The 15,106-nt window shown below is 33.7% G+C and overlaps 1 long non-coding RNA gene across 4 annotated transcripts in view; it reads left to right on the forward strand.

The window, feature by feature from the left end:
- The window catches only part of LOC105370467 (uncharacterized), a 186,853-nt gene extending 185,254 nt beyond the window's left edge, over positions 1–1,599 (forward strand). For 2 of the 4 annotated variants that reach the window (XR_007064130.1, XR_007064131.1), the window contains one exon: positions 1,186–1,265. This is a non-coding gene — a long non-coding RNA (uncharacterized LOC105370467). Of the gene's footprint in view, positions 1–1,185 lie in introns of all 4 variants that reach the window. The other 2 variants (XR_007064132.1, XR_007064133.1) reach the window with 2 other exon arrangements.
- The last annotated feature ends 13,507 nt before the right edge of the window (positions 1,600–15,106 follow it).

The following is a 15,106-nucleotide window of genomic DNA, read 5'->3' on the forward strand; positions in this document are numbered from 1 at the left end:
ATCTTTTCCTTATGTGAAGACAAAAGACCATAGGTATTGGCACCATTAACATTTGAATGCAGAGTCCATGTACCATATTCACTGGTTACTGTTGTACCAACAAGGGTAATTTCACTGCTAATTATCAAAAAGTCATTCAATATATACAGTTAAATTGTTGGATATATTAATGAATAAATAATTGAATTAATACTAATTTATATCTCTTTTACTTAATTTAGGGTATGTTGGTGTTTGTTTCCTTCTGATACATAAAATAGCCAATAGGATGAAGATTTGTTTTCTTGTTTTTATTTTCTTTTTTAATTTATCTTTAACGTTTGCGTTATTGGGGTAATTTGCAATATTGAAGTAATATTTGCTTTGGTTTTGAGAAGGTATTGAAAGTATTTACTTTTTTCCTATTTAGTTTGCTCATTAAGGTTATTTATTAACTACCATTTTAAGAAACAAAAACAAGCTCTAAGTTTGGCATGTAATAATTCCAGGCAATATATATAGTATACTTTTGAGAGGAGATGAGGAAAATAAGTCAGACTGATTTTCCTACTAACAGTTTGATAAAACTTACTATTAAAAGAGTGATAACTAATGCTTCTATGTGCCTTTCTGTAAATATCAATCAATAAGTATTGCTAGTACCCATAAATTATTCCTAATGTACAATTTCAAATGGCTGTGTCTTAGCTTGAGAGAGGTGCTGAGAGAAATGAATGCTCTACATGGTAAGATTCCCTATAAGTTATTTCAAATACATTACCTCTTCTTATTTCAACTTAGATATTGTCCACAGGAAGATTTTTAAACAAATAATTTTTAACACTTTCTTATATGCAAAAATAAAAACAGACTATATTAATTGTAGTTTGTGATCTCAACATATTTTCAATAACTTTGTTGCAATCCTGTCTCTATTCCTTATAAATGAAATATTCACATAAAATGTATTCTTAAGACCCAGAAATCAGTCAACAAAACAACCATCTCTATTGATTACTTACTAATACATATGGAAATTATAACAAACAGCAGATCACTAATGAGAGTCTAATTTAAAAGTGGTATATTTATATTTTGAAAAACATATTTATGTTATATTTTTAATTGAACCCTCTCCCTTTTTATTGCCTACCCTATATTTGAGTAAATTTGAGATAATTAATGAACAATTTTTTATTTTACTAGCTGAGATTGAAGAACACTTGAAAATTATCAAGAATGTACTGCGGAGTATTGAAATTGCAAGTTATCATCAAAGGAAGCTGTAAGCATCATGACTCAGTGATGTATTTTCTCTGTATTTACCATTTTAAACCAAATTTAGTGTTCTCTCTGAAGGACAATCTAAATAAAGTAGTTGTAAATTAATTTATAATAATGAATAAATATTCAAACAATTATTTTGATAGGTTTTATCCAGCAGAAACTGAGAAAATTTAATCTTACATGACATTGGGATGCTATATTATTTGACATGAAACAAATATTTTAAACCACACTTTTAAATGGTGTATATTGCACTACCTTTTAAAAAAAAGAAATAGAAGTTTTGAATAAGAAATATTCCTTTTGTCTATGAAATAAATTAAAATGCTTTTCAAATAATGTTTTATTGTAATATTTTTCAAACTCTTCCATGGAATAGAAACAGCAAATATTTGCCAAATTATTCTATCATTCCAGCTACCAAAAAAGGCATTGATACCAAAACAGACAAAAACATAATGAAAAAAACAACTAGAAGTACATTTCATTTTGCTCATACATTTAAATGCAAACATTTTAAACACATTATTGTTGACTCAAACACAGCAGTTGCTAAATAATGTACTACACTGTAACCAAAGTAGTTTGATGGAAGAATTGCTAAATACTGGAAAATATATAAATATAAATTACCATGTCATATGCTTTAGATGAATTCTCCCCTTCAAATTTTATGTTGAAAAGTAACCTCCAATGTTGGAACTGAGCCTAGTGGGCGGTGATTTCGTCATGTGGGCAGATTCCTCGTGAATGGATTGTGGCTGTCCTCACCTTAGTGAGTGAATTCTTACTCTGAGTTCATTTGAGATCTAGTTGTTTAAAAGTTTGGAACTTTCCCCCTTGCTCTCTCTCTCTTGCTCCTTCTCTCATCATGTGATGTGCTGCTCTCACTTCACATGTCATCATGATTCAAAGCTCCCTGACGAAGCCAAGCAGATGCTGGCCCAATGTTTCCTGTACAGCCTACAGAACTCTGAGACAATTAGACCTCTTTACTTTATAAATTATCCAGTCTCAGGTATATCTGTATTAGTGATATTTCTCATATTATTTCTTTAGTCTCTATTCATAATATTAGATAATGTTCACTTTAGGTATTCTCAACAGTGTTATTAGAATAGTTTGTTCATTTCACAGGACTTCGTGTTGTGTAAATCAAGCATTGTTTACATTTTATTGTATGTGAATACAATGAAATCTAATGGTTGAGGTAGAGTGCCAATGCACTATAAGCCCTGTGACACTAATTAATTTGCTTATGGAGATAATAAGATTTTTCTTGCTTTTCAGTCTCCGTTCTACTACAATTAAACTTTGTTTCAAGTGTTCTCTCCGTAAGTCTTTTAGGAATAATTGGGGGTGGTCATTGCATAGAAAGAGGAACTGGAGTTGGATGTGTGACAGAGAATATTATGTTTTCATTACCTTGACTGATGCCTTAAGTTGAGATTTAATTTGGAGAAGTAAAGAGAAATATAAAAGTAATACTACTACTAGTAACATACATTTATAGAATGTGTTTTAGATACTATAACTCTTCAAAATAAGTTATGTGGTAGGCATTATTATTACCCTTATCTTATAAATGTGTCACTAAGACATTAACAGGAATATCATGTGCCTCCAATTCACACAGATAGTATATAATGGAGCTGCAACACTTCAATTTATTACACATGAGATCAGCACTAAAGCATTTTAAGGCTCTTTTCCTTTCTGTTACTTATTTGCTTATATGCCTTGAAAGTAGGAATATACATTACTCATATCAGTATCCTCAGAATCTGATAGTGTCTGGCACATAAACACTCAATTCATATATCAATTTATATATTAAACAAATATGTAGTTTCTTGTCACAAAGACTCACATCCCAGGTAGCTAATGCTTAAAAAGATGAATAGCCAATAAAAAACTACAAAAAGTCTAACATATCATCGATACTGAGGTGGCATAAGCCCTGTGAGAGAAGAGCAAACAGTATAAGACTCAGTGGAGGGAGGAAGGAATGGTAGGAACAGTAATGTTGAGATAGAATAGAGACCCAGAGTCTATGTCCTGGGAAACCACTTTTTTTAGTCTCTGAAGGAATTTGAGTAAAAATGATATGATCTGACATATTTTTAGGAAGACTCTCTGACTCCTAAGTGGATAATTCACTATAAAAGATAAGAGTAAGTTTATATGGCAATGTTCATTGAGTTACATATATAGTTAAAACTAGTATGTAGTGACCAATAAAAACTTTCTTAGAAGTGGAAGGTGCCTCATACCGCTTTTAAGAAATAGCTAGCAAATGTAAACAAAATATCTGTAGTTTAGATTTCCTTGGATTCATACAAGGAAAAAAAATTTGTTCTGACATTAAAAAGTATACGTCAGCAATTAAGACTATTAACAGAAATAGATAAAACAAAAGATATTGATCAAGTTATATGTTGGTATCAATAGGGTAAAAATATTTATGAAATAATTATATTCAGTAAATATATTGAGATCTTAATAATATTAATATAAAATGATTACTTAATAGTCTGATGATTAAATTTTGCCTTATGATTATTTTAACTTTAAATCAATATTTAACTTTTCTATCACTGCTTACTAAAACAAAATGAAAGCTGTGGGGTATCTGTAGTGTCAGTTTTGCAATATTTATAAAAACATGGTAATGTTTAAATATGACATTTGTATTTCAGAAAATTTTTTTCACACTGAATTTGAATATAAATGAGATGAATAAATTTACATCATTGACTTACATTTATATGTCTAGGAAATAAGTATAACATTTTTCTTTCCTTCAGGCAAAAAGTTGATATGCCTCATGGCAGTGTTCCCCAGGCTTGCAAATGTTCTTATGCATACCAGAAGTCATTTTTGTACTGTAATTTTGCAGAGTTTAATTAAACTATATGCATACAAATATAGGCATGAATTTCATTTTTTGTCTTTTCATGACTTCTGATATATATGTATTTGCATATATATGTATATATATAAAACAATGGAATTAAAATACATTGTTTTATGTTATTTTTCATATGTTTTATATGATAACCTTAAATACTTCATAGTGACCAGAAAATGTGAGAATTGAACTTATTTTTTTAATGATGAGTTTCTGAGAAATACTTTGGTACAATTGGATCTTATTTAGATAAATTCCACAAGTAATTTTTAAAAATACAGACTACCTTAAATATTTAAAATATTGAGAGCAACTAGAACATTCTACAAACATTCTTTTAGAGTACAGTTGTATTATGTAATAGATAGGCTATGCATTTTGAAGTCAGACAGTTGGCTTTGTAACTGTGCTTTTTCACTTACTAATTGTGTGGAGTTCAGCAAGTAATTTAATTTCTCATTCACAGTACTCTTATTTGTGGAAAACAAACACAGAAAAAAGAAGAAGGAAGGAAGGAAGGTAGGAAGGAAGGAAGGAGGGGAAGAAGGAGGGAAGGAGGGAGGGAGGAAGGGAAGGAAGGAAGGAAGGAAAGAAGGGAGGGAAGAAGGAGGGAGGGAGGGAAGGAAGGAAGGAAGGAATGAAATATTTTTGTCAAAGCAAACACTGCCCAGAGTAAATTGATGTTGGTTGTATACTGCTGAGGGGAATGAAACAATATGGTCATGTTGGGATATTCCTATGGAGGAATATGTTTTTGTTTTTCTCTTCCTGAAGTTGATCTTATGGGAGCTCAATGGGAGATAACTATTAAAATTGTCTACTATTTCTTCTAATGGGAGTTTTTACCTGTAAGATACAGCTTTATTTTCTTTATGTTACTTCAAAAATTCAAACAGTCTTACTAACTAGTGGAGATTAGAGCCAAGTATAGTGACTGGGTCCCACCATCTGAAAGTATAGCAGGGCTAGTGAATTTTATCATGAAATGTATGTGCTCTACTGTGCCTGACAAAAAAAGGTATGTGTATATGGAACCAGTGTTCAGTGTACGATATATTCTTTTAATCATCTGACATGAAATTTGAGGATTTAGCTATTTTCTACCAATGAAAAAAATAGCTCCAATAATGTAGCATTTAATACATGTTTATGGGTAATGTGGAAAAACATTATTTATCACATTACCTGTGTTTATGTGATGCAAACATGAACAAGTCTTATGGGCGTTGGTTTGTGAAATCAAAATAATTTTGTGCTTCAAAATATCACATCATATCCTAAAATATCCGAGGCATCATTTCTTGATAAAGCCTGAAAATTACAGAAAAATCTCTATCACTTGTTTTTATGTATTCTGCTAATCATGATCATTACCTAACTCTCATAAACTTTGTACATATAAGAAAATGCACTTATATAATACAACTCCAATGGGGGATCCACTTTATGTCAGTTTTAATTGTTTAGATGCTGAAATAAATTAACCTGAGTTACACGGTTTTACCACCAACGTGAAAGCTACTTCTCTGAGCTATAGGCCAGAGATTGGGTTTCTGGGGGGAAAAAAAAAAAAACTGTATGAGTTGTGTATTAGTCCATTTTCATGCTGCTGATAAAGACATACCTGAGACTGGGCAATTTAGAAAATAAAGAGGTTTAATGGAGCACTCACAGTTCCATGTTGCTGGGGAAGTCTCACAATCATGGTGGAAGCCAAGGAGGTACAACTCTCATTTTTAAAACCATCAGATCTCATGAGATTCATTCACTATCACGAGAACAGTGCAGGAAAGACCTGCCCCCATAATTCAATCACCTCCCACTGGGTTTCTCCCACAACACCTGGGAATTGTGGAGTTACAATTCAAGATGAGATTTGTGTGGAGATACAGCCAAATCATATTATTCCACCTCGGCTCCTCCTAAATCTCATGTCCTTACATTTCAAAACCAAACCAATATGCCTTCCCAACAGTCCCCCAAAGTCTTAACTCATTTCAGCATTAACTCAAAAGTCCACAGTCCAACATCTCATCTGAGACAAAGCAAATTCCTTCCACCTATAAGCCTGTAAAATCCAAAGCAAGTTAGTTACTTCCTAGATACAAAGGGGGTACAGACATTAGGTAAATATAGCTGTTCCAAATGGGAGAAATTGGCCAGAACAAAGGGGCCACAGGCCCCATGAAAAGCCAAAATCCATCAGAGCAGTCAAATCTTAAAACATCAAAATGATCTCCTTTGACTCCATGTCTCACATAAGGTCACACTGATGCAAGAGGTGTGCTTCCATAGCCTTGGGCAGCTCTGTCCCTGTGGCTTTGCAGGGTATAGCCGCCCTCCTGGCTGCTTTCACTGGCTGCTGTCAAGAGTCTGTGGGTTTTACAGGCACACAGTACAAGCTGTTGGTGGATTCTATCATTCTGGTGTCTGGATGATGGTGGCCCTCTTCTCACAGCTCCACTAGGTGATGCCCTAGTAGGGACACTGTGTGGGGGATCCAACCACACATTTCCCTTCTGCACTGTCCTAGCAGAGGTTTTCCATGAGGGCCCTGTCTCTAAAGCAAACTTCTGCCTGGGCATCTAGGTGTTTCCACACAACCTCTGAAATCTAGGCAGAGGTTTCCAAACCACGATTCTTTTCTTTTTCTTTTTCTTTTTTTTTCTCTTTGAGACGGAGTCTCGCTCTGTCACCAGGCTGGAATGAAGTGGTGTGATCTCTGCTCACTGCAACCTCTGCCTCCCAGGTTCCAGCAATTCTCCTGCCTCAGCCTCCCAAGTAGCAGGGACTACAGGCCCTCACCACCACGCCCAACTAATTTTTGTATTGTTAGTAGAGATGGGTTTTCACCATGACAGCCAGGATGGTCTTGACCTTGTGATCCACTTGCCTTGGACTCTCAAAGTGCTGGGATTACAGGCATGAGCCACGGTGCTGGCCTCAATTCTCGATCTCTCTGAATCCACAGGGTGAACACCACATGAAAGCTGCCAAGGCTTGTGGCTTCCCTCCTCAGAAGCAACAGCCCAAGCTGTTACCTTGGCCCCTTTTAGTTACAGCTGGAGCAGCTGAGACACAGGGAACCATGTCCCTACACTACACACAGCAGAGGGACCCTGGGCCCAGCCCATGAAATCATTTATTCCTCTGCCACTGGGCCTTTGATGGGAGGGGCTGCCACAAATATCTCTTACATACTCTGAAGACATTTTTCTAATTGTCTTGGTGGTTAACTTTCGGCTCCTTGTTACTTATGAAAATTTCTGCAGCTGGCTTGAGTTTCTCCTCAGAAAATGAGATTTTCTTTTCTACCACATTGTCAGGCTGCAAATTTTCCAAACGTTTATGCGCTGTTTCCCTTTTAAAACTGAGTGGTTTTAACCTCACCCAAGTCACCCCTTTAATGTTTTGCTGCTTAAAAATTTCTTGCTCCAGATACTCTAAATTATCTCTCTCGAGTTCAAAGTTCCTTAAACCTCTACAGCAGGGGCAAAATGCTGCCAGTCTCTTTGCTAAAACATAACATGAGTTACCTTTGCTTCAATTCCCAATAAATTCCTCATCTCCATCTGAGACCACCTCAGCCTGGACCTTATTGTTCATATAACTATCTGCATTTTTGTCAAAGCAACTTAACAAGTCTCTAGGAAGCTCCAAACTTTCCCACATTTACCTGTTTTACTGAGCCCTTCAAACTGTTTCAACCTCTGCCTGTTACCCAGTTCCAAAGTCACTTCCACATTTTTGTTATCTTTTCAGCAACACCCTACTCCTGGGTATTACTGGGTATTTACTGTATTTGTCCATTTTCATGCTGCTAATAAAAACATACCCAAGTCTGGGCAATTTACAAAAGAAAGAGGTTTAATGGAGAACTCACAGTTCCACGTTGCTGGTCAAGCCTCACAATCATGGTGGAAGCCAAGGAGGTACAAGTCGCATCTTACATGGATGGCAGCAGGCAAAGAGAGAGCTGGTGCAGGGAAACTACCATTTGTAAAACCATCAGATCTAATGAGACTCATTCACTATCACGAGAACAGTGCAGGAAAGATCCACCCTCATAATTCAATCACCTCCCTCCAAGTTCCTCCCACAACAGGTGGGAATTGTGGGAGTTACAATTCAAGATGAGATTTGGGTGGGGACACAGCAAAACCATATCAATGTACATTCAACTATTGATACTGCAGAGGATGACTTTAGGGAAAATGCTTCTGCAGTTGGTTGACACCATGATGACACAGACAACTGAAAGATACAGAATATCTAAAAATATTTTAGTTAGGAACCTATGCCTTTAAGAGTAATTACATGGGATTGAGTGAAACTTGAAATGGAAATTGATTTGTTTATTTATCTGAGACCACTGTTGTCATTACTTTCAATGGTCTATTTTCTAGTGGTAAAAAGCCCACCTTCCTTTTTTCCGTAATTTACATTATCTTTCAACATCATTTTTCAAGGTTTACTTATGCAATCTAGAATTAACACTCTGTTGAAAACCCAAGCCTAAAAGACAGTAACTTCAGCTACTGGCTTTTTAAAATTTCTTTTTTGATTTGTGGTTTATTGTGGTAGCAGGTACCTCAGAATCCATTAAAAAATAAAATCCAGATTTCAGGTGATCTACATTGAGGAATAAAATTAGGAATAAAAAGGTATTTAGGAACTAAATTTCTCAGAATAATTTTCACATTGTTGCAGCAGCCCATCTGAATCAAGAAAATACATAGATTTTCCTGGGTGGAATATAAGAAAGGAAATTATTAAGTAATAAGCTTAAAGTGAAAAATCACTAACACAAGCAAATGTGTCTCGAGAGAACTGAAGTATGATGCTTGTAATAATTGGAATTCAGAGGAGTGTTTTACAATATACCAAGCTTAGAAAAATCATAACCATTTTTATAAAAAGACATTGTGTCAAATTTTACTCTTTTAAACCACATCACCTTTGAAAAATATTAAGCATATTTCTAGGTAATTGCTCTGTCTGAGTCTAAAATAATTGTGTAAAAATATAGGTTTATAACAAAAATAAATGCTACAAATATTATTTGAAGTACCTTTATGATTCATTTTATGCTGCATGGAAATAAAGTTATGTTTTTAATTTTTGTAGGATTCAATCCTCCTTTATCCTTGATATAAATTAACCAAGTTTGTGGGAAAAGTTACTTCTAGATATATTTTATTTTTTTATATATGAGAAAAGCCACTACTACAGAGCAAGATTTACCCTTCATATGTGGAGATATATATATATATGTATATATATATATGCCTATATATATATAAGATATATATGTGTATATATATATGCCTATATATATAAGATATATATGTGTATATATATATGCCTATATATATAAGATATATATGATATATATGCCTATATATATAAGATATATATATATGATATATATGCCTATATATATATAAGATATATATATACATATATATGATATATATGCCTATATATATATATAAGATATATATATATACATATATATGATATATATGCCTAAGATCTTCTCCCAGAATACTGGTCTAATACTTTCCTTTAGTTAGATTTCTAAAACATAGTAATATGCTTTAGATTACTAATGCTTTAGTTAGATTTCAGTTCATGTGATGATAACTCACACTAACAAACATGGAAAATCCCTGAGGAAGAAGCACTGTATTCTTAATTTCTGTCCTCTAAGCATGATGGTTGATAAGGAAGTAAAATATTATTATTATATCTGGGAAAATAGGAGTAATAAAAATATAGCACTGTTTTATTTTATTTAAGGAACTTTCTTGGCAGAAGTTAATTCTCTTGCCTATACTTGTATGCATCACTTAGAACCAAGCTAGGAGGATTATGTGTGTTAAATATCATTGCGCACACACACACACAGTTTGTGTGTATGCAGAAAGGGAAATAAAAAATAAATTTAAGCATACAAAATATAAAATTCTTGGTGTAAAGACTACATGAAATATATACCATGGAAGCTGAGTCACAAGGAGATTTTGTTTAGAAATTCTCCCTGAATGTGGTAAATTTATGTAATAGAATCATATCAATGTGTATATGGCTATTACTGTTAGTCATAACAGCATGCTTATTGTATAAATTAGACTTTGGCTGATTTTCAACATGTATATGAAATTTAAAAGACAATCAAATAAACAGCAAATTCAATTAATAATTTCCCCCCCCCCACACACACACACACAAAAACACAATTAAACGGATCTTTTGTCATTGGGATTAGAGAAAGAAAATTGTCCCAAACCTCAGTGGTACAGAACATTTTTGCATGATGTAATTCAGCCCTTTGTGGATATAATTGCTATTCCAAATTAAATACATGAGTGATATTCTTACAGACTTTAATGAGATTAAAAACTCCTGGGAAGTTAGGGTTGCGTACTCAACTGATTGACTAGTTTAATGATCTTCAGGCAGATAGTCCTGCATTGTATTATTTCTTTTAATACTATCTCCTTTCCACACTGCTCATCCTTCAAGGCCTATTTAATTCTCTCTTACTGCAAGCTTCAAATATAATTCTGACACATGGTTAAAATATTCTTTCTGATAAATTTATTCACTATCACATACATTCCAATAAAGAAGAAAGCTTACATTCCTCAATGTAAACAGTGCTATGCATTAGGGGTTTCAAAATAAAGAGCCACCACAGATGTCTTAGGTAAAATATGTGCAGCTTATGCTATATGAAAAACCCTTTTCTAACCTTTTTTATGTATTATATTAACTCATTCATCCTCAAAACAACCCTGCACATGAAAGTGTTACTATTCTCACTTAACAAGTGAAAGTCTAAAGTTCAGTGAGATTAGGAAGTGTGCACAAGTCCTCACAATAATGAGAAACGCCTGATATATGTTAAAATTTTGATTTATTGCAAGCAAGAACAAAAATACGTTCCCAGTGGGAATAATCAGAGCCATCATGCTGTACAACTTCAAAAATGACAATTTATCCAATCATTGAAGATAAATCACATGAATTTATATTTTGCATAGTCTTTGAAAAAGAAGTTTCAATGTGGTAAAATATGTATAAGTACTTTAGATAAAATATATATTTTCAGTGGGTTAATGCAGAGAAATATATTCACAGCTTCAGAATATTACACATCAGTTAAAATGTTTCATGGATCTGGTATAAATAAACTGAACTGTGCTTCAGTATTATAAAATTAATGATTTATATATTACACATAAAGAGATATATATATATATATATATATATATATATATATATATATATATATATATATATATATATATATATAGTTGGGTTTCCATATAAGCTTCTTTATTAGTATTTTACCCTTTTCCCCCAAAGCAGCATGAAATATTGGATAGTTAGAATCCACTGAAAAGCTTATATACATACACACATATATTTAAATATTGGTGGATCTTATGTTACATAAAAGGCAATAAGCATGATTGGTAAAAATGTTCTATTTCTCTAGTAAACCTCTCTAAATATGTATTAAAATTTAGTTTTGATACATAATAATTGCACATATTCATGGGGTACATGTGATATTATGATACATGCATAGAATGCGTCATGATCAAATCAGTTTGTTTAGGATGCTAATCCCCTACATTATTACTATCTCTATGTATTGGGATCATTTGAAATCTTCTCTTTTAGCTATTAAAAATATACAGGCTGGGCACGGTGGCTCACACCTGTAATCACAGCGCTTTGGGAGGCCGAGGAGGGTAGCTCTCTTGAGGTCAGGTGAAACGCTCTTTCTACCAAAAATACAAAAATTAGGACCGGGCGTGGTGGCGTGTGCCTGTAATCCTAGTTACTTGGGAGGCTGAGGCTTGAACCTGGGAGGTAGAGGTTGCAGTGAGCCAAAATCACGTCACTGAACTCCATCCTGGGTGACAGGGTGAGACTCCATCTAAAATACATGTATACACACACACACACACACACACACACACATATATATATATATACACACAATATATTGTTACCTATAATCACCCTATGATGCTGTTAAGCGCTAGAACTTATTCCTTATAACTCTATGTTTGTACCCATTAACTAACTTTTCTTCGTTTCCAAACCCCACCCTTCCCAACCTCAGGTAACTGTCATTCCACTCTCTACCTCCATGATATCAACCTGTTTTTTAGCACTCACATGAATGAGAACATGTAATATTTGTCTTTTTTTCCTGGTTTATTTCACTTAACGTAATGACTCTTAGTTCCAGGCATGTTCCTGCAAAGTATTCTTTTTTCTTTTTTTATGGCTGAATAGTATTCAATTGTGTATACATTTTCTTTATCCATTGAGCCTTTGATAAACACTTAGGTTGATTCCATATCTTAGCTATTGTGAATAGTGCTGCAATTAACCTGGTTATCCAGGTTTTCAGGTATTTAGAATACCCTGGGTATCCAGGTATTTAAGTATCCCTTTGATATACTAATTTCCTTTCCTTTGGATAAATACCACGTAGTAGGATTGCTGAATTGCACAGTAGCTCTGTTTTTAGTTTTTAAGAAATCCCCAAAATGCTTTAAATAATGGCTGTACTAATATACATCCCCACCAACGGTGTGTGCGTTCCCTTTTCTCCACATCCTTGCCAACATCTATCATTTTGACTTTTTAATAATATCCATTCTAAATGGTGTAAGATAATATCTCATTTTGGTTTTAATTTACAGTTATCTGATGATTAGCAACATTGAGTAGTTTTTCATATACCTGTAGGCCATTTGAATGTCTTCTTTTGATAAACGTATATTCAGATTTTTTGCCCAGTTTTTAACATAATTCTATTTTTTTGCTGTTGTCTGAGTTCCATGTAGTCTGTATATTAGTTTTTTGTCAGATGAATAGTTTGACAAATATATTCTCTCATTCTACAAATTGTCTTTTCACTCCGTTGATTGTTTTCTTTGCTGTGCAAAAGCTTTATAGTTTAATATAGTCCCATTTGTCTATTTTTGTTGTGGTGGTGGTGGGCATTTGAGGTCTTGGCCATAAAATCTTTGCCAGGACAAATGCCTTGAAAAACTTCTCCTATATATATATATTTTTATTTTGTGACATTACTTCTAAGAATAGTTTTATTTTACTTTATTTTTTTATTTTATATTATTATTATACTTTAAGTTTTAGGGTACATGTGCACAATGTGCAGGTTAGTTACATATGTATACATGTGCCATGCTGGTGTGCTGCACCCACTAACTCGTCATCTAGCATTAGGTATATCTCCCAATGCTATCCCTCCCCCCCTCCCCCCACCCCACAACAGTCCCCAGAGTGTGATGTTCCCCTTCCTGTGTCCATGTGTTCTCATTGTTCAATTCCCACCTATGAGTGAGAATATGCGGTGTTTGGTTTTTTGTTCTTGCGATAGCTTACAGAGAGTGATGATTTCCAATTTCATTCATGTCCCTACAAAGGACATGAACTCATCATTTTTTATGGCTGCATAGTATTCCATGGGATATATGTGCCACATTTTCTTAATCCACTCTATCATTGTTGGACATTTGGGTTTTTTACTAATAGTTTTATAGTGTCAGATCTTACATTTAAGTTTTTAATTTACTTGGAGTGGACTTTTTATAGTGCTAGATTTAGTGGTCTAATTTCATTGTTTTGTGTATGAGTATACGGCACCTTTTCCCAGCATCTTTTGTTGAAGAGGGTGTCCTTTCCCTAATGAATGTTCTTGGAGGCATTGTTGAAAACCAGTTGGCTGTAAATATGTGAATTTGTTTCTGTTCTCTACTCTGTTCCATTGGTCGAAGTGTCTATTTTTATACCAATATCATGCTGTTTGATTACTATATCTTTGTGGAGTATTTTGAAATCAGCTATGTGATGCCTCCAGCTTTATGTATTTATTTATTTTGCTCATGATTGTTTTAGCTGTTTGGGTCTGTGGGGTTCTGTATGAATTTTAGGATTTCTTTTTTCTGTTATTGTGAACTATGCCATGGGAATTTTGACAGAGACTGTATCGATTCTGGAAATTGCTTTGCGTGGCATGGTCATTTTAACAAAACTAATTCTTTCCATTCATGAGCATGAGATGTCTTTCCATTTGTTTGTGTTCTTTTTAATTTCTTTCTTCAGTGTTTTGTAGTTTACCTTGTTGAGGTCTTTCATTTCCTTGGGCAAATTAATTTCCTGGTAATTTTTTAGCTCTTGTAAATGGGATTGCTTTCTTGATATTTTGTTTTCAAACAGCTCATTATTGGTGCATAGAAACACTTCTTATTTTTGTATGTTGATTTTGTATTTTGCAACATTACTGAATTGATCAATTCCAAGAGTTTTTCAGTGGCTTTTCTATATATAAAATCAGGTCATCTGCAAAGAGAGACAAGTTGCCTTTCTCTTTTCCAAGTTGGATGCTTTTTATTTCTTTCTCTTGCTTGATTGCTCTAGCTAGAACTTCTAGTACTTTGTTGAATAAGTGTCAAAAGTAGGCATCCTTATCTTGTTTCAGCACTTAGAGGAAAGATTTTCAGCTTTTTCCCATTCAGTATTATGTTAGCTGTGGGTTTGTCATATATAGTCTTTATTGTGTTGAGAAATGTCCTTTCTATATATAATCTATTTAGAGTATTTATAATAAAGGGATGTTAAGTTTTGTTAATATTTTTAGTATCTATTGGGATGCTTCTATGGTTTTTGTCCTTTACCCTGTTAATATGATCATAGTTATTGATTTGTAGATTTGCATATTGACTTGGGTATGTTGAACTATCCTTGCATCCCTTTGATAAATCTCACTTGTTCATGGTATATTATCGTTCTGATGTGTTGTTGGATTTGGTTTGCTAGTATTTTCTTGAGGATTTTTGCATCTGTGTTCTTTGGGGGTATCGACTTGTAGTTTTC

This window comes from Homo sapiens, chromosome 14 (genome assembly GCF_000001405.40).
Source record: "Homo sapiens chromosome 14, GRCh38.p14 Primary Assembly".
NCBI classification, from domain to species: Eukaryota; Metazoa; Chordata; class Mammalia; order Primates; family Hominidae; genus Homo; species Homo sapiens.